The 22,307-nt window shown below is 32.4% G+C and overlaps 1 long non-coding RNA gene across 2 annotated transcripts in view; it reads right to left on the bottom strand.

Moving 5' to 3' along the window:
• The window catches only part of LINC02315 (long intergenic non-protein coding RNA 2315), a 186,338-nt gene that overhangs the window by 104,937 nt on the left and 59,094 nt on the right, over positions 1–22,307 (bottom strand). Inside the window, exon 4 of one of the 2 annotated variants that reach the window (NR_109757.1) lies at positions 10,323–10,592. The exons of the other annotated variant lie outside the window; for it this stretch is intronic. This is a non-coding gene — a long non-coding RNA (long intergenic non-protein coding RNA 2315). Of the gene's footprint in view, positions 1–10,322; positions 10,593–22,307 lie in introns of those variants that run through there. 2 annotated transcript variants of the gene reach the window in all.

Raw genomic sequence — 22,307 nt, 5'->3', positions numbered from 1 at the left:
CTGAATTTTATTTGCCCCAATGTACAAGGCTGGTATAGAATACATGTCCTACCTTTTTTTGTGTGCGATATATCGTATAGATCATTATTCAATTAAAAAGTGGAATTTTTAAGTCTCCAAATACTGTATTCAATTCCAAGCCATTTCTATTAGTAACATTTTTCTTTGATAGTGAAAGCATCTTTTCATAGATTCAATGGCTTGTCTTCAATGGCATACTTTTTTTCCATTATATTATAATCCTTTATTTAAAAAGAGTAGTGAAAGCCTTTTTAAACGTCAGAAAATTATATCAAGGGCCATCCTATGTGAATTTTGTATCACTGTTCCTAAAAGAAATTCAGTCTTACTGCAATCCTCCTTTTGTGAATTCCTGCTGACCAAAATGAATTACATTCCTAATATTTAGGTCACAATGGCAGATAGTTTTGTGTTCAGTTGCTCTGAAATCTTGACATTTACAACCTGAAAGCTGCTAGAATTTAACCTAGTGCACATTATAGTTTTCTTTCAATAAAATTTTCCTCGTTTTGCTTGTAATTTTGTATTCTTTTTATTTTTACTCTTTAAGCTTTCAAGTTGTAATGCAGAAGCTGTTTATTTATTTCGTCTCAATTTCAGTGTACGTCCAAATATATTTATTTTTTCATACATGTTTTATCTCTTTTTTTTTTATCATTGCCTTTTGAATTTTCACACAGCCAAATACTTAGCTAGAGGACATAAAAATACTTCTCCCTCCTAAAATAAACCATGTTTTCATATTATGAATTTTGAAAGTATTTCTTCTCTATTATTTATATCTTTCTTTTTGAAATTTTTGTTAGATTATGCCTATCTATATTTGACTGCATTTCATAAATCCCAAGAGGCATGATTTCCATATTTGAATGCCTCTGAAGTTGAGTTTGTCTTAGAGTGATGTCATCTTACAATTACTTCTGCTTGAATAGCTATCATGACATAGTTACCATTATTTGTGAGTATGCAAAAAGTGATCATATTTGTCATAATTTTGTCACATCAATTAATCTACATGTAGAGCTGATACTAAATTTTAGGTTTAATTGTCATATTTAAACATTACTTTAGATTCAGCATTGCAACAGAAATTCATTGTGTACATACACATGCGTAGTATCAAACCATGGAGGTATAAATGTGATCATACCAAAGCCAATAGTCATCATTGGAGGAGTGACGGAAATTATCTATTTTCTTGCAAAACAGCAATCAAGTGCTTCATATCATCTAAGAAAGGAAGATATCTATGAGTAGTTTATTTATATTTCAAAGCTACAACCAAAATATTATCACACATCAGAATGGAACTGATTCAAGATAATTATATTTTGAAATAATACATTTTAGAATATGTGTGCATGCAAATGGAAAGAACTTAATAGATAATAAATTGACATACAAAAAATAATTTTTAAGGAGAGAGTTCTTGAGAAAGTTAAAGGGGTTAAAATATGGCTAGAAGTTGAAGCATGGGCCTTAGAATAAAATTCTAGAAAGATTTTCCAAGGCTGGTAAGAAATAAAACTAAAGCCTAGTCATAGGTTCTGGCTCTTATATTCATGTTTTCAACAATGTGTACTGAGGATTTATTATGTGTCAGACCTTGTGCTAGGCATGGGAGATGGAAAGAGAACAGAATAAATATTCCTCCTATTAAAGGAACTGGGTGTTAGAATAATTGTCACTCCTAAAAGTTTTAATTATACACTGAGGTGGGTTAAATTGTGTCCTACACAAAAGATATGCTGAAGTTCTGAATGTTGGCCCTCACAAAAGATATGCTGAAGTTCTCATTCAGTACCTGTAAGTGTGACACTATTTAAAAGTAGTGACATTGAAGATGTAATCGAGATAAGATAAAGTAATACTGAATTTGAGTGGGCTCTAATCCTCATGGCTTGTACCCATATAAGAGGAGACAAAGACATACACAAAAAGATGGATATATGACAATAGAGGTAAAGATTAGAGTGATTACAAGCCAAGGAATACCAAAGTTTTGAGGAGTGGATCTTCTCCTATTCTTACTGGCAGTTTTTCTGACTATGTTTGTGAGTCAGATTTAGCGTATAAATAGGTATATGTGAGAAGGCATGTATATGCATGCCAACATAGTAAGCTCCCTAATAACAATGCATTTAGGATTTTTCTTTTTGTTTCAATATATAAAATGCTATACATGATATAAATAAATTACTTTTTAGGGAAAAAGCACCATTTTCAATAATCTTAGTATACTGCAATTTTACAGTGAGTGTTGCTTTCACCAAATACAATGTAAAATACAGGACATAAATGAGGAGATATGTTAGAATCCTGGGAAATTATTCTGACATTATTCAGTTTTAAAAAGTATTCTTTTTTTAAAGACAGTGGATTCAGTGAAACTGCCATAGTTATTAAAACATAACTGGCAGTAGCAAGGTAAAGTATTTTAATATCCATTTGGGTTACCCATAGTAGCAAAGAGATATGAAGTAAAAGTAAAAATTGGGAGGCCTAGGCAGGCGGATCACAAGGTCAGGAATTCAAGACCAGCCTGGCCAGCATGGTGAAACCCCATCTCTACTAAAATACAAAAAAGTTACCCAGGTGCAGTGGTGCATGCCTGTAGTCCCAGCTACTCAAGAGGCTGAGGCAGGTGAATTGCTTGAACCCTGCAGGCGGAGGTTGCAGTGAGCTGAGATCTCACCTTGTTGACAGAGCGAGGCTCCGTCTCAAAAAAAACAGAAAAGAAAAAAAAATCTAAAATCCTTCATGATTAACCCCCACCCCCCAACAAACTAGTCATAGGGAGAACATACTCAAAATAGTAAAAGCCACAGCCAACATTATACTGAATAACCAAAAGCCGAAAGTATATTCCTTAAGAACTGGAGCAAGATAAGGATATCCACTCTCACCAATGCTGTTAAACAGAGTACTGGAATTCCTAGACAGAGCAATAGGAAAATAATGATAGACAAATTCACGAAAGCATCAGGATACAAAATTAAGGCACAAATCAGTTGCATTTTTGTATACCACCAATGCTCAAGCTAAGAATTAAATCAAGAACTCAATTCCATTTACAACTGCCACACACATGCAAAAAACTAGGAATATATTTGACCAAGGGGATAAAATACTTTTATCAAGAGAACTACAAACCCCTGATGACAAAAAGGATAAGTGACACAAACAAATCTAAACATTCCATGCTTATGGATAGGGAGAATCAATACCATTAAAATAAGTATATTTTCCCAAGCATCTAGAGATTCGATGCAATTCTTATCAAATTACCAATGTCATTATTTTTGTGGAATTAGAGAAAAATTCTAAAATTTATATAGAACCTAAAAAGAGTCCAAATAATCAAAGCAATCCTAAACAAAAAGAACAAAGCCAGAGGCATTACATTATTTGATATCAAACTATACTATAAAACTACAGTAATCAAAACAGCATGGAACTGGTACAAAAATGGACACATATATCAATGGAATAGAATAGAGAAATCAGAAATAAATCCATACACTTTCAACCAACTCATCTTCAATGTAGTCAATAAAGGCAAACAAAGGGGAACCCAACACTGTTTTCGATAAATGATACTTGGGAAATTGATTAGCCATATGCAGAGGAATTAAACTTGACCCCAATCTCTCACTATATACAAAAATTCACTCAAGGTAGATTAAAAACTTAAATGTAAGACCTCAAACTAAAAAATAAAATAAAATAAATAGAAGAAATTTTAAGAAAAACTTTTCTAGATATTGGGCTAACCTAAGAATTTATGACTAGGACCTCAAAAGCAAATGGAACAACAATAAAAAATAGACAGATGGTACTTAAATAAACTAAAGTGATTCTGCAGAGCAAAAGAAACAATCAACAGAGTAAACACACAACTTCCAGAATGGGAGAAAATGTATGCCTCTGACAAAGGAATAACATCTGGAATCTATAAGGAGCTTAAACAAATTAACAAGAAACAGTAAATAACCCCAATAAAAGTGGACATGAGACATGAAAAGATACTTTTCAAAAGAAAACTTAACAAGTTGCCAATAACATGAAAAAAATGCTCAACAAAACTAGTCATCAGAGAAATACAAATCAAAACACAATGAGATGCTATCTCACACTAGTCAGAATGGCTACTGTTAAAAAGTCAAAAAATAACAGATGTTGAAGATGAGGAGAAAAGAGAATGCTTATAAACTGTTGATGGGAATAGTCCAAGTTCTATGGAAAACAGTATGGAGATTTTTCAAAGTACTAAAAATAGAACTACCATTCAACCTAGAAATCCCACTACTGGGTATCTACCCAAAAGAAAAGAAGTCATCTTACCAAAAGAATACCTACACTCATTTTCTTTTTGTTGCAGCACTATTCACAATAGCAAAGACATAGAATCAACCTAGGTGCCTATCAATGGTGGATTGAATAAAGATATCATATTATACATACACCTTGGAATACTACACAGACATAAAAAATAATGAAGTCATGTCCTCCACAGCAACATGGATGCAGCTGCAGGTCATTATCTGAAGTTATTTTCTCAGAAAGAGAAAATCAAATATCACATGTTCCCGCTTAAAAGTGGGAGCTAAACAGTGGGTACACAAGGATATAAAGATGAAAACAATAAATACCTGGAACTCCAAAAGAAAAGAGTGTGAGGAGTAGGGGAGGGTTGGAAGCTACATATTTGGTATTACGCCCAAAATTGGGGTGATGAGTATACTAGAAGCTCAAACTCCACCACTGCAATATACCTTTATAACAAACCTGCACATGTGCCTCCTGAATCTATAATAAAAACACAGAATAAAATAAAATACAATAGAGATTAGACAGAAGAAAAGGATTATGAATATTCTCATTTTAGAATTAATGAAAATAACTCAATATTGGAGACCAGGCTTAACAGTAATTAAAGGAAAAATGTTATCAATAAAAAAACAAGAAGTACAAATGACAAATATATCTAATATATATACTTAAAAGCAAATAACCACAAATATGCAAGAATTATTTTTGATGATTAAATAAACTAAAACCGATGAATTAATGAGTTGTTTACCCATTCAACACGGAGTAAAATCTTAATGATTTTACCCAGTGTTGGCATTTTCAGTGTTTTAAAAAGCTTTTTCTTTTGTAGCAGAGAACTCACAATTATTTGGACGATAGAGTGAAAAGCTGAATGAGCACTTGAAGAAGATGTATCCTCTGACCTAAACAAATGCCAAACCCAAAAGAGCCACATCTATGTCTGTGCAAAGGGCTGTGAAACTGGATGTTGAGCTGCTGAGGTAAGGGGATGCAAATTTGAATTGTTATTTTTTTGGACAGAGGTGAAGAGGATGTTGATATGTCCTCTGTGAATAAAATGGTCCAGAAGTGGATTGGAGCAAAGCTTTTAGATGTTCCTAAACATCTGTTGTCATTTTCCATTGTTTACAGATATAGGTTGGAAGCAACTCAGGATGAAATATCCAAGTCTCCTTGTAAACATTTGTTTAGTTAATGCCAAAGGAACAAAGCTTTCAAAGCAGTCATCATTTATTTTATCCCTTTTTCCTTTATGTGTCCTGGATGTAGGTGCCAAAGAGAAAGACACCAGGTCGTTAATGATCAGTCAGAGGTCATAAATCCACTTAAAGGAATATCCACAAAACAATTGTTTACTCTTTCGCACCATGAACACTTCTATGTTACATTTTTTACAACACTTTAGCCTATCCTAACTAATACATTTATCTAGGGCTGTAAGCAAATTGATGTAACTTTCTGGTGGCTAGCTTGGCAATATGTTTCAGGATCGTTACAAAGGTGTGTTCATTTTCAATTTTTTTTTTTTTTTTTAGTTTATTATTTTGTGTGGAGACAGTGTCTCACCATGTTGCCCAGGCTGGTCTTGAACTCCTGGCCAGAAGTGATCCTCCTGCCTTGGCCTCCCAAAGCGTAGGGATTACAGGTATGAGTTATTATGTCTGAACTTAATAATTTTTAAGTAAGGCAAAATAACACTCTTCTCTAAGGATTTACATACAAGTTTTTCAGAAAAGTGTGGTTTACTTTTAAGAATAAACTTGAAATAACTATAATAACCCAAAATATAGAAATAATATCAAAATTATAATGTGTCCTCATAAAATGATATTCTGCAGCCATAAAAATTCTGCCTTGGAGTACTAAAGATTAACTTTTAAACCATCAAAATATAATAAATAAAAATAAATAATAGCACTATATACTATATATTTTATTTTTTAAAAAAAATTTTATAAAGATCTATGAAAATTTTAATTATTAGTTTTCAGTTGGTGGGACCATAAAAATTTGCATTTTATATATTTATGTGGTAAACATGTTTCCTAGAAATTAATGTAATGCAAAAGCTTTAAAAATGTTTACTATTTTAGTGGATTCTAATTTGAAATCAGTCAGAAGTACATATTGACTTTCAGAGGCCAGATCATAATCATAATTTATAACTAAAACTGTTAGGTAAAAGTAATTTCATTAATAATATAAATATAAAAATTGTGAATTGAATGTAAAGAATTATATACAAGAAATTATTGTCATCAAACGTAATTATGCTGATACTATTCATATACAAAGTAGAATAATAAACAGCATTTTATTAATGCATATTCAAAAACATTACTTAATGTATAAAAAACAAAGTCTTAAAAACTAGAACACAGACAATACCAAATGCTAACCAAGATGTGGAGCAACAAGAACTGTAACTTATTGCTGGTTGGAAAGCAAAAGCGTACAGCCATTTTGGAAGCCAATTTCGTAGCATTTTTTTTATAAAACTAAATATGCTCTTACCATATGATCCATCAGTGGTGCTCCTTGGTATTTACCTAAAATAATTGAGAATTTATCTCCACACAAAAACTTTCACATAGATTATTATAAAAGGTTTATTCATAATTGCCAAAACTTATAATCGACCAAGATTTCTTCCATACATGAATAGATAAACAGTAGCACATCAAGAAAGTAGAATACAATTTAGCATTACAAAGAAATTCAATTTCAAGCAATGAAAGTAAATATAGAAAACTTAATGCAATTACCAAGACTCCCAAAAATCTCAATCTGAACAAGCTGCTTACGGTTTGAATCCAACTATATGATATCTATATGCAAAAGGCAAAACTATGAAGACAGTAAAAATAGCAGTGTTTGCCAGGGTTTGGGTAGGGAGGTATGAATTGATGGAGCAGAGGACTTTTAGAGCAAGGCAATGAAACTACTCTGAATGACGCTATAATTGTTGATACAAGTAATTAAACATTTGTCCAAATCCATGGGATGTACAGAATCAAGAGTGAAGCCTAATGTAAACTATGGACTTTGGGCAATAATTATGTGTCAATGTAAGTTCATTGATTGTAACAAATACATCACTCAGGTGGGGAATATTGATAATAAAAAAAATATACACATTTGTCATGAGGAGTATACGGAAAAGATCTGCACATTCTGCTCAACTTTACTGTGAGTCTAAAATAGTCTAAAAATAAAGCATGTTTAAAAATATTGAATAACCATGGAGGAAAAAAATGTACCTTTTCTAAAATGCATCATTTCAAAGAGCTTCTAAGATTATTCAAAAAGTATCAAAGAATATATTTAACCCAGAGAGAAAATGTACAATGCACGTGGTTTTACTAAGATAAGACATTCTAGCCCTGTGTGAAATATTTGTATAATGCAATCTGACCCTCCTAGGGCAAGTCATTATCTCTGCACTATTTTATTTCCTGAAGTATGTATTTTCCTATTTGATTAGATTTTAAAGAAAATAATCAACAGTGAATTGACTTGACTGCAGGTAGAACAGCATCTGTCATAAAGTAGCTATTCAATAAATAATTATTATATAAATGAATATATTAATGCCACCATAAAATATTTAGCAAAATTTCCAATATTACTAAAAATTAAAAATTTTTTACCACCTAAATAAGACCATATAATATGCAATCACAATATAAAAATGTGCATGCATAATTTTTTGAAAGATTAATACATTTTACCTCCACTGATCGTTACAAATTTTATAGTGTAGAATTATGTAAGCAGAAAGAGATGGTAGACAATTTAACCACAGGCTAAAGGGCCAGAGGACCGAAGGAACAGAGTCTATAGAAACAGAGCAGCGTCTTGATCATTAATGATCATGCACTTGTGAAAGTTCACAGCCTCCCAGCAGTGAAGAATGTAAGACTTTGGAAGACAGGGACTAGGTTCTATTTCACTCTGCACTTGTCGCTTCTATGTCAGTGACCAATACAGATTAAATAGGAAATAACGTTTTATTAAAATAAATAAGTGACTTTGAACAATTACCTAGTTTTAGAAAGCAAATGAACCATACAATATGAATCACCCAAGCATAGTCAATCACCCATAGTCATTTTAACTGAATAGCACTTAAACTCAATTTCTTCATAGCTTTCTTTCGAAATTGAATGTAAACATTTCTTACTTTTCCTACCTCTTTAACTTGAAATATATGGATTTAGAGAAGCTTGCTGACAAGATAATAACAGAATAATTTTCAATTTAAATGACTGTAACCAGAATGTAGTTACATTTATTTTAGCACTAATTTTAAAGAGCAGAAGAAAGTAATGGATCAGTGATTTTGTGATTTTGTATATACTTTTAATAAAAGGAAAATGTAATGTATTTTTTAACATTATTAATTATCAATTCATGAGCTACACTGGTATATCAAACAGACTAAAACATATTTATATAGCAGTGTAAATCCACACTAATATATAAATTTTTTTTTAAATTGTGAATTGGGCCTTGGTCACAGTTACATTATAAAGGATACTTGCTCTTGGACAAAACTACCATATATTTCTACAACTAAGTTAAACAGTCCTTGGAGCTAGATGAACCTCATATGACTGAATTGTCTACAGTATTTATGACTGGCTAATGTGAATATTAAATACTACTAGGTGCATATTATCTTTTATTGGTAGAAACTTTATTTTTACTAGAAGTTAAAGACTTGTGAAATTCAACTATAAATGGAATATTCAACTCCTGCCCTTACCTAGACAAAGTGTATTAATCAAGGAAAAGGTTTTATGTAGACAATGAATATATAATATGTTCTTAAGCATGGATTTCTTAATATTGAAAACAATAGTCATATGTAATTTATTGTATCTCCTGCCATCAAAATTTGATTAAATGGTAAACCTACTAAAACCAAATGAAGGAGCAAAGGATACCTAAAGCGTTTTCAGGCGTTTGTTCTTTAATCAGGATCCTTGTTATTTTATTTTATGTTTGCATCAACTACATATTCTTTCCTTTCTGTGTCAGCTCTATCCTTCAGTGGCTTCCCTCAAATAATTGAGTGATTTTAGAAGATTCAGGCTTTAAGTTACAAATTACATCAGGAAGAAAGAAATCTCTGTTTTAATGTTCTAAGTCAATTTTCTGAAATTCAAATGCATTGAACCAAATCTGAACCATTTTCTGTGGTTAAGCCAATGTCACCACACACCACTTGTTTTCTGCCTGGGTTATAAGAAAAAATCAATGGTGGCAGAAAGCATAGGATAATCCCGAATGTTTTAAGTGTTGAAGCTGAGGGACTAGGCATGCCAATTCAACTATGTGTTACACAATCGGTGGATAGTGGAAAGAAGGTTACAGAGAAACCCCAGTATCCGCTACAGCATTCCTAAGTAACAGAGATAATAATGGAGAGTTCAGCGTGGGATGAGTGCATTTGTGTGTGTGTGTCAATGTATATGCAATTACTTAATCAGAAACATTATAAAGCAAGCCTTATTAAGGATCATTGCAGAGTAACTTTTCTTATGGTTGATGAAGTAATAACATTCTTTGTATTTAGATCTATATTCTTGCCATGACTGTAGCCCCAACTAATAAAACCTGAAGATAATAAAGATCTATTAGTTGGTAGCATGGCTACTTTTTTTGCAGAAAGGATTTTTTAAGGTACCAGTAAGGATCATTTTTTCTAATGCTAACCTTGAGTGTTATTGTAAAGTAAGAATTTCAAAACAGTTTGTGTTTAAGAGTGGTGTTTTAATACCATTATAATGAGATTACTGTCTCTGACTTGCTCTGTGAAAAGTCAGATGAAAGTCGTGAGAGAAAAAACACAACATAAATATTACTTTATCAATTCTAGTGGTTCATAATGTATTTAATTTATCTTATATGCAATTTGTCCTTTTATTTATCTTCAATATTTCCTTTCATTGAGAAGCTATGCAATATAGGAGTCATGTTCTATAATCCTAGTCTCATTGTTTTTATAGAAAAGTCACAAAATAGTTTATTCCAAAGAAAAGACTCTTTTTAGTAAATCCTACAGAAGGAAAAGCATAATCCTTAGGATTGAAGTTGATATAAATAATGATGAGCAGGCTGAGCATGGTGGCTCACACCTGTAATCCCAGCACTTTAGGAGGCCAAGGTAGATGGATTACTTGAGTTCAGGAATTGGAGACCAGCATGGGCAACACGAGGAAACACCACTTCTACAGAAACAAACAAACAAAAATTAACTGGGCTTAGTGGTGTATGCCTGTGGTCCCAGCTACTCAGGAGGCTGAGGTGGGAGGTTCCCTTCACTCCAAGAGGTCAAAGGTGCAGTGAGCCCTGATGGAGCCACAGAACTCCAGCCTGGGTAACAGAGTGAAACTTTGTCTCAAAAAAAAAAAAAAAAAAAAAAAAGATAAGCAATTGGCAATTGTATGTTTAGCTACATACCAAGTTATTTGAGTAAGCTGGTTTTGTAATTCAAACCATTTAACTTATAACTAAAAATATTAAATGATTGTCAGCATATATGAGTTACTCTCTCACTTTTATTGAGAATTACAGCAAATAAAGTGACTAGTGGATTACTAAAGAAATTATCAGTTTAGATGAGTGAGTACATTATTTAACATGGTGACAAAATTTATATATTTGAATAATAATACATTAAATAATTTATTGACTCTCACATTTTGTTCTTCACATGATTTACTAAATTTATATGTTACCCCTTTTAATATCACCTTCAGATTACTCATAATACCTACAACACTGTAAATACTAGGTAAATAGTTGTTATCTTTATTCTTTCATTTGCATTCTATTTTATTCTATTTTTCCTAATTTTTGATGTGCTCTTGGTTGAATTTGTGAATGCAGAAGCCATAAATATAAAATCCTGAAGACCCTATGAAAAAACTCCTAGATTTGACAAGGTAAGTTTAAGGATTCAAAATAAACATACAAAAAGCAGTAGTGTGTCTATACACCAATAACAATCCAGGTGAAAACTAAATCAAGAAGGCAATCCCATTCACAATAGCTACAAAAACAAATACTTAGGAATATATTTAACAAAGGAGGTGAAACAGCTCTACAAGAAAAACTATAAAACTGCTGAAATAAACTCTAGATGACACAAACAAATGGAAAAGCATCCCATACTCTTAGAGGAATTAATAATATTAAAATGACAATTTCAATCTACAGATTCAATGCAATTTCCATGAAAATATGTCATTTTCCACACAATTAGAAAAAAAAATATATTCTACATTCATATGGAACCATAAAAAAGCCCAAGAGCCAGAACAATCAAAATTAAAAAACAAAGCTGGAGGCATTCCACTAGCAAAAAACAAAGCTAGAAACATTCCACTGCCAGATTTACCAAATTAATAGTATCCAAAACAGCATGGTACTCCTATTAGACACACAGATCAATGGAACGGAACAGAGAATTCAAAAATAAAGCCACATATTTACAGCCTTCTGATCTTGAAAAAATTAACAAGAACATTCATCAGGGAAAAGATAACCTTTTCAATAAATGGTACTAGCAAAATTGGCTTGCAATATGCAGAAGAATACAATTGGACCCCTATGTCTCACCATCTATGAAAAATCAACTCAGATGGATTAAGTTCGATGGAAGACCTCATATTATAAAAATACTAGAAGAAAAACCAAAGGAATTTCTTTTGGACATTTGTCTAGGCAAAGAACTTATGATTAGGACCACAATAGTACAGGCAGCGAAAACAAAAATAGACAAATTAGATTTAATTAAACTAAAAAGCTTCTGCACAGCCAAAGAAAGAATCAACAGGGTGAACAGACTGCTTTCAGAATGGAAGAAAATATGTGCAAACTATGCATCTGACAGGGGACTAATATCCAGAATTTGCAAGAACTCGAACAACTCAACAACAACAAAAGCAAAAACAAATAATACTATTTTAAAAATGGGAAAAGGTCATGAATATATGTTTTTCAAAAGAAGATATACAAATGATCAACAGGTATATGAAAAGATTCTTAACATCACTAATCATCAGAAAAATGCAAGTTAAAACCACAGTGAGATATAATCTTACACCAGTCAGAATAGCTATTATTAGAAAAACAAAGAATAACATGTTGGCAAGGATTCGAAGAAAAGAGAATGCTTATACACTGTTGGTCTGAATGTAAACTAGTACAACCTCTATAAAAATATGAAGATTTCTCAAAGAATTAAAAATAGAAGTACCATTTCATCTAGCAATCCCATGACTGAGTGACTACACAAAGGAAAAGAAAACATATCAAATAGATACCTATACCAGTGTGTTTATTGCTGTACTATTTACAATAGCAAAGATATGGAATCAACCTAGGTGTTCATCAATGCATAATAGGTTAAAGAAAAGGTGGTATACATACACAATGGAATACTATTCAGCCATAAAAAGAATGAAATCACATATTTTGCAGCAACATGAATAGAACTGTAGGCCATTATCTTAGATGAAACAAGTCAGACAAAGAAAGATGAATACCTCATGTTCTTACTTATAAGTGGGAACTAAATAATGCTTACATGTGGCTGTAGATTGTGCAATGCTAGATAATGGTGACTCAGAGGAATGAGGGTGATGGAGTGGAGCATAAGACATTACTAAGTGGGTTCAATGTACAGTATTCGGGTGATATGGATACCCTAAAAACCCTGACCTCACCACTTTGCAATCTATGCATGTAACAAAACACTTGAACCCCACAAATTTATATAAAAAGGTACGTGAACTAAACACTCCCACTAAAAAACAGATAGTAAAATGGATTTTAAAATGCAATATAATTCAACTATATGCTATCTATAAGAGGCATATATATTAGATTCAAAATCACAAAGAGCTGCCTTTAAGATTTTCTCTTAAGCATTGACTTTGGACAGTCTGGTGGCTATGTGCCTTGGTTATGTCTGTTTCATATAGTATCTCTCAAGTGTTCTCTGGATTTCTTATATCTGTATGTCTACCTCTTTAGCAAGATTAGAAAAATTTTCTTGAATTATTCCCTCAAGTATGTTTTCCAGGTTGTTTGCTTTTTCTCCTTTTCTCTCAGGAATTCCAATAATTCATAGGTCTGGTCACTTTGCATAATCCCATATTTCTTGGAGAGTTTATTTTTAAAAATTCTTCTTAATTTATTTTGTCTGACTGGATTGGTTCAAAACAGTGATCTTCACATAGAGGGAAAAACGCACACTGGGGCCTTTTTGGAGAGTGGAGGGTGAAAGGAGGGAGAGGATCAAGCAAAACCACTAATGAGTACTAGGCTTAATACTTGGGTGATAAAATAATCTGTACAACAAACCCTCATAACAGAAGTTTACCTATGTGACAAATGTGTACCTGTGCCTCTGGACTTAAAATAAAAGTTAAAAAAAAGTCTGGTCTTAAAGCTTTGAAATTATTTCTTCTGCTTGGTCCTGTCTATTGATAAAGCTTTTAATTGTAGTTTGAGATTCCTTACATGAGTTTTTCAATTTTAGAAGCTTTGGTTGATTTTGTTTTAAGATGTTTATCTCTTCTTTCATTTTCTGGGTTACTTTAGAAGTTTCCTTGTGTTGATTTTCAACATTGTCTTGGATCTTGCTGAGCTTCCTTGCTGTCCATGCTTTAAATTATTTGTCATTTCTGAGTTTCCATTTTGGCTAGAGGTCATTGCTGGATATCTAGTGTGATCCTTTGGTAGTGTCAATACAGTTAGATTTTTCATGGTGCCAGAATTTTTGTGCTGGTTCCCTCTCTTGTAGAGACACTGATACTTGTATTTTTTTGTAATTATTTTCATGAAAGTAATTTTTTTTGTTCTTTCTTTCTCTATAATATTATTGCTTTCTTTCTTTCCCTTTTTCCCTTCCCCAGAGAGTGTGACTGTAGGGAATGCCAGGTAGAGTGTTTTGGCAATTCTTCTGGCATGTTTTATACTGGACTGTGCAGTGTGACCTACAAGCCAGAAGATGATACTTATAGGTAATAGCTGGGAGCAGGCAATATAGCCAGGTATAAATTTGATCCTTATTTACAGGCATAAGCTCTGTGCTGGCTCAGCCAATGGGATACACAGTCAGAAAAAAAGAATGAAATCATTCATGCTTTTTGCAGCAACATGGATGCACCTGGAGGCCATTATCCTAACAGAATAAATGCAGGAACAGAAAACCAAATATGATATGTTCCCACTTACAAGTGGGAACTAAACACTACATATTCATGGACATAAAGGTGGCAATGATAGAAACTTGGGACTACTAGTAGGCAGAGGTAGGGATGGGGGTAGCCATTGAAAAACTATTAGGTGTTATGCACAGTACTTGAGTGATGGGATAATTTGTACCACAGACGTCATCATCATGAAATACACCCAGATAAGAAACCTGCATATGTACCTCTTCAATCTAAAATAAAATTTAAAAAAATCACAAATAGTTTAAAAACAAAAAAATGGAAAATGATATACCATGTAAGCATGACCAACATAGAGCTACAGTGGCTGTAATAGTTTTCAGTATTCTAAGACAAAAATGGTTAATATAGATTGAAAAATTGTAATGATAAAAGGTAAATCTATCAAGAGGTGTACCAATTATAAACCTATGTGCATCTAACAACAGAGATCCAATACATAGAGAGCAAAATTGACAGAATTGAAGGGATTAGCATATATTTCAATAACAATAATTGGATATTTGAATGCTCACCTTGAAATAATAGCTATAATAAGACAGAATGTCAATACTCAAATAGAAGATTTAAAAAACATGATAAACTACTTAGACCTAAGAGATATCTATAGAACATGTCAAAAAAACACAGCAGAATATACATCCTTCTCTAATAAATATGAAACATTCTACAGGAAAGAACAAAAAAAAGCCTCCATAAATTTTAAGAATTGATTGCATGAAACTAAAAAGCTTCTTCAAAGTAAACAATGAACAAAGTGAACAGACAACCCACAGATTAAGAGAACATAATAGCAAACCATGTATCTCTGATAAAGGACAAAAATCTAAAATATATAAAGAACTAAATAATTCAACAGCAAGAAAACAAATATCCTGATTATAAAATTAGCAAAGAACCTGGCCAGACGTATCTCAAGAGAAGACATATGAATGGTCAAAAGATATGTTAAAAAATGCTCAACCTCTCTAATCATCAAATAAATGCAAATAAAAATCACTATGATATATTTTATCAAGCTCTTTTGAATGACTATTACAAAAAAGACAAAATATAACAAGTGTTGGTGAGTACCTGAAGTAAATGGAGTCCTTGTACACTGTTGGGGATGTTAACTAGTACAAGCATTTTTGAAAATAATATGGAATTTCCTCAAAAACCTAAAAAGAGAACTACCATATGATCAACAATTCCATGTCTGGAATATATAAAAAAGAATTGAAATTTTTATATTAAAGATATATCTGTCCACTCATGTTATTTGCAGCATTATTTACAATGGCCAAGGATGGAGCAATCTAAGTGTCTATCAATGAGTGAATAAACTTTTTAAATGCAGTATATATACACAATGGAATACTACACAGCTTTTTTTAAAAAATGACATTTTTTTCATTTGTGACAACATAGAACTGGTAAACTTTATGTCAAGTGAAATAAGCGAGACACAGAGAGATAAAATAATGTATGATCTCACTTACATGTGGAATCTAAAGACATCGATTTCACAGAGGCAGAGCATAGAAAGTTATTACCAGTGGCTGTGGTGGTTTGACAGGGGGAATGGGAAGAGAAGATATTGGTCAAAGTGTACAAGGTTTCAGTTAGATGGCAAGAATAAGTTTTCATGATCAATTGCATTTCATCATGACCACAGTTCATGATAATGTATTTAATGTTTTAAAATTGCTAAAATAATGGATTTTTAATGTTCTTACCATAAAACTATAATAAGTTCGTGAGATAATGGATATGCTAATTAGCTTCATTAAATTTTTCTATAATGTATACAAAGATCAAAACATAACATTCTATCCCATAAGTATAATTACTGCCAATTAAAAATAAATAAAGAAATATTTTTTGAAATGGTTGAAATTCACTGACCTTGGTTTAATGGCATTAGAAATCAATGGCAGAAGGAAATATGGAAAATTTAAATACGTGTGAAAATAAACCAGACACTTTAAATACTAAACAAGTCAAATAAGAAATCAGAAGAGAAATTATAAACTACGTTGAGATGAAGGCAAATGAAAGCATAACACACTAAAACTTATGGGAGGAAACTAAAACAATGCTTAGAGGAACAATTTATAGCTGAAAATATAGATATTAAAAAAGAAAAAATCAAATCCATAACAGAACTTTCCACCTTAGAAAACTAGAATAAGATGACAAATCAAATCCAAAGCAAGCAGGAAAAAAAGAAAACATTAATAATTTAAGCAGGGTTTAAAGAAATTCTAAATAGAAAAGCAATAAGAAAATCAGTAATATTAGCAGTTAGTTCTTTTAAAAGATCAATTTAATTGATAAACCTTTAGCTAGAATTACCAAGCAAAAGAGAAAAGACAAATTGCAAAAAATCAAAAATAAAGGAATGATCATTATTACTGACTGCAGAAATAACTATACAAGGAAATATCATAAACAACTGGATTCCAACAAATTATGTAACCTAGATGAAAGGCCTGATAAGGCCCTACATTCCCACCTCTGGCTAACCTTGAGGGTTTACCATTATAAAGCTAATATAAGAAAGACTCTGTGGTACTGGCATAAAGATAGACATATAAATCAATAAAATAGAATTTTATTGCCCATAAATTAACCCATTATTTTATGGTCAATTGATTTTCAACAAGGCTGCCAAGTTAATTCAATGGGGATAAAGTAGTCTCTTTAACAAATGGTTCTGGAATAAAACTAGATGCCTACATGCAAAACCATGAAGACAGATCTTTGTTTTCCATTATACACAAAAATTAACTAAAATGGATCATAAAATTAAATATAAAAATTAAAACTAAAAAAAAACTCCTAGAAGAAAATATTTGAGAAAATATTTATGATCTTGGATTAGGCTAAAATTTCTTAGATATAAAAGCAAAAACACCAGTGGAAAAAAACATAAATTGGACTTCATTATCAAGGAAAAGAGAAAAGACAAATTACAAAATCAATATTAAAATTAAAACTGTATTTCAGCAGACACTATAAAGAAAATGAAAAAAGGCATTGACGGAATGGGAAAATATTTGAAATCACATATCTATAAAAGGTACTTTTATCCAGAAGTTAGAAGGAATATCCATAATTCCATATTAAAGAGACAACCAAATTTAATAATTGGCAAAGAATCTGAATAGATATTCCTCTAAAGAAGATACAGTAAATAATATACAAATAGAAAATATTCTGGAATTGTTTAGTGGTAATAGCTGCACATCTTTGTGAATACACTAAAAACACTGATTTTTACTTGAAAGGGTAAATATTATTATATGTAAATTACACATCAATAGAAAGTCACAGTCTGACTGTCAAAATTTGTACAGATATTATTGGTTTTAGGTAGACTAAAATAAGTGCTGAATATTTTTGTCGTTTTTTATTATTGTAGCATGAACTCAGGAATAATCCAATGTAAAATGGATACATACAGGCATTTAAGACTCTGGAAAGAATACATTTCCAAATGAAATAAAAGAAATGATCAGAAGCAGAGTCATTATTAATTCCTCTAAAATAATGAGTGTATATATATATCTAAATTGCTAAGTTTAGAACATAATATGTCTATGATCAATTAAGCTTAATTATAGGAAGACAGATGACTTTTCTTTAAGTTTATATGTACGTTGTTTCACCTGACCAGTGACATTTATATTGATGCAACGTAAAATATGAACTATTCCCTTTCTTGCCTCAGCAAAAATAAATCCAGGGCTGTGATTGGATCCTGGTTAATGTATATAAGCTTGGCCCCTAGAGCAAAATCAATAGTCGTTTTTCAGTTCTGCGAAATTCAATGATAAAATCTGGATCAATTTTTATTGTTGCTTATACACTTGTTGTTGGAATAGCAGCCCAAAAGTGCACATGAAGAAAATCTATTCTCTTTTAGGAAGCAATCCTGAGTTGTCTGTGCTTTCCTTATTTTTCATGTTTCCAGGTATAATTCCCAAGGAAACATGGTCCTCTGGAGTGGTAGGGATTTTTTATATATTGAAAGTTCTAGTAACTGCATCATAAATACAAGACAGGGTACATAAAGTAGTCGATTGAAAGTCTGCTTTCCACTTAAGAACTAAACTCTGGTGAGGAACATATTGTCTAATTTATCATATCAGGAATAAGCCAATTATCCATCCTTTGAGATTAGTGGAATTCTCTTAATAGAAATGAATAATTCCTGAGAAGCAGGCTGGAGAATGTTTGAAAAGAACAAACAGACTGACTACTGAGGTGAGAATAGCTCCTATATCAATTGTTCACCCTGGGGAACTCAGTTATGCTCACAGCGTGAAATGGTTTCTACAGAAGCATCCTAGTAATTTGTGGTGAGAGCCTGATTTTTAGAAGATTGAAGGTTGGAGTTAATACAGATGAATAATTCTAGTATAAAATGAACCAGTTAAAGGGAATATTTCCTCTGTAATATTTAATGAAATATCAATTAGGTGTTTATTAGGAGCTTAAGTTGTAGCAGATAGAGCTAATCATCAAAAAGATTCAGAGAAAAGAGCAGGTAAATGATATATTTAAATGTGAGAAAGGATAGGAGGGTCAAGAATGTGGTAATGATATAAATGGAGTAATATTTTGAAAAATCCTTTTAGGACAGTTGCTAAGGTTCATTTAAATAAAGTAACAAGTAACATAGTAAGAAGAAAAAAGGATAGTAAGATCTCAAAACAACATTCTTTTTCTGTTATTGTAGATGGAATCTTTCAATTTTGTGCCAACATTGTATTGATTTGAAGGTCTTGGTTTACGGTCTTTAGCCTGAAGAATATTTACTTCTAAGGGTTCTTAAGTTTAAGGTCTCACTGAGAGGAGGGGCCAGCTGGGCTTCCTGGGTCGAGTAGGGGCTCAGAAATCTGTGAAACTCACTCAGTTTCCTACATCAGGACTTACTTCGTTCCTGGATGAATAATATTGAAGATATATGCTTAAAATATTCTTAACACTAGGATTTGTGCATGTTTGCTTCCCCAAGAAAGCTACAAACAGCAAAAATTTTGCTGTAAGTTTCCCTGAGTCCTCTCTCCCTCTCTCCCTCTCCTTTCCCCCTCCCCCGAAACGAAAAGGAATGTTAACTGCCTGTTTTTCTGTGACCAGGAGACCTTACCTATACTCACAATTCCAATTCCTTGTAAACATACTTTGTAAAGTCCTCTGAGATCCTGTCTCCTTTGCCATGCCACTGCAAGGTCATAAAGTAGATAAAACCTAAGCTGCAATTCCACATCCCCTCGGTATTATCCAGCAAAACAGACATAACAACCATTTCAGATGGTTGATATTTGAATACGATTGGAGTTAATAATAAATCTTTATGGATTAGGAATGGGACAATTTTATTTGAATACAGTGACATTTATCCTGAGAAAGTACTTCACAAGACTTAGAAGAAATACAGAGATTTGGGGGAGATTAAAACTTTATTTTTTTTTTTTTTACTAGTAGACAACATATGGTTATCTTTTTCTTTTTTTATTATTATATTTTAAGTTCTGGGGTACATGTGCAGAGTGTGCAATTTCGCTACATAGATATACACGTGCCATGGTGGTTTGCTGCACTCATCAGCCCGTCACCTATATTAGGTATCTCTCCTAATGCTATCCCTCCCCTAGTCTCCCACCTGCTGGCAGTCCTTGGTGTATGATGTTCCCCTTGCTGTGTCCATGTGTTCTCCTTATTCAACTCTCAATTATGAGTGAGAAAATGCGGTGTTTGGTTTTCTGTTCTTGTGATAGTTTGCTGAGAATAATGGTTTCCAGCTTCACCCATGTCCCCCTGCAAGGGACATGAACTCACCCTTTTTTATGGCTGCATAGTATTACATGGTGTATATGTGCCACATTTGCTTTATCCAGTCTATCATTGATGGACATTTGGGTTGGTTCCAAGTCTTTGCTATTGTGAATAGTGCCACAGTAAACATATGTGTGCCTGTGTCTTTATAGCATAATGGTTTATAATTCTTTGGGTATATAGCTAGTAATGGGATTGCTGGATCAAATGGCATTTCTAGTTCTAGATCCTTGAGGAATCGCCACACTGTCTTCCACAATGGTTGAACTAATTTACACTCCCACCAACAGTGTAAAAGCATTCCTATTTCTCCACATCCTCTCCAGAATCTGTTGTTTCCTGACTTTTTAATGATCGCCATTCTAACTGGTGTGAGATTGTATTGCATTGTGATTTTGATTTTCCTTTCCCTAATGACCTGTAGGGATGAGCATTTTTTCATATGTTTGTTGGCTGCATAAATGTCTTCTTTTAAGAAATGTCTGTTCATATCCTTTGCCCACCTTGTGATGGGGTTGTTTTTTTTCTTGTAAATATGTTTATGTACTTTGTAGATTCTGGATATTAGCCCTTCGTCAGATGGATAGATTGCAAAAATTTTCTCCCATTCTGTAGGTTACCTGTTCACTGTGATAATAGTGTATTTTGCTGTGCAGAAATTCTTTAGTTTAATTAGATCCCGTTTGTCAATTTTGGCTTTTGTTGCCATTGCTTTTGGTGTTTTAGACATGAAGTCTTTTCCCATGCCTATGTCCTGAATGGTATTGCCCAGGTTTTCTTCTAGGATTTGTATGGTTTGTCTTAAGTTTAAGTCTTTAGTCCATCTTGAATTGATTTTTGTTTAAGGTGTAAGGAAGGGATCCAGTTTTAGTTTTCTGCATATTGCTAGCCAGTTTTCCCAACACCATTGTTGGATACTATGCTTTTTTATTGATATTTATTTTATTTTTATTATATATTATATAATGAAACTATATATTATAACTATATATTAAACAATACCTATATATTATATTTGTTGCGAATAATTTCCCAGGCAACTTGCTATTTTTATTTTTTTATTTGTTTAAGTTTTACATACGATCAATTGTACTCTTTTGATAACCTTTCTATGTGTTTTGGGGAATGTAGAGATCAATTTAACCACCAGACAATCAAGATACAGAATAGTTCCATCACCAAAAGGAATTTCTTCCTATTTTACTTGTCATCAGTCCCACATCTTATACCAATGCCTAGCAGAATCTAATGTATTTTTCTTTGCTATAGTACCCCCTTCAATAACTTTTTTGTTAATTTTTAACTATATCCAGACTAAAGAAAATACATGGAAATAGTACAGAGAGTTTCCATATATCTCTTACCCAGCTTTCACCAAACTTAACATATTGCATAATGTTTTACAATTATCAGAAACATTATCTACTTTGAAGACTCTATTGGAGTTTCACCAGATTTCCACTACTGTCTTTTTTTAATCTTTCAGGATCCTATTCAGAATTCCACATTGTATGTTTGCTTTCCTTTTCCTAAGCCTTTTGCAAGCTGTGATGGTTTTTGAGTATGTCCTTGTCTTTCATCCTTTGACACTTTTGAAGCACACTGATTATTGTGTTGAATGTCCCTCCAACTAGATTTTTCTAACGTTTCCACACTGTTAGACTAAGGATATGCATTTTTGTGAAGGGTTCCAGAAAAATGAGGTGTCCTTTTTAGTGCATCGTTGTCATTTTCATCGTGTTAATATGTCTCACTACTAATGACATTGATTTAAATTAGTTAAGAAAATGTCTGCCAAGATTGTCCACTCTAAAGTTATTGTCTTTCCTCTGCAAATAAGTATCTTGGGACAGATATTTTGAGGCTATGAAA

The sequence above is a fragment of the Homo sapiens genome, chromosome 14 (assembly GCF_000001405.40).
Source record: "Homo sapiens chromosome 14, GRCh38.p14 Primary Assembly".
In the NCBI taxonomy this organism is placed as follows: domain Eukaryota; kingdom Metazoa; phylum Chordata; class Mammalia; order Primates; family Hominidae; genus Homo; species Homo sapiens.
The sequence above is the reverse complement of the archived record's forward strand: the minus strand, read 5'-3'. Positions and strand labels throughout refer to the sequence as shown.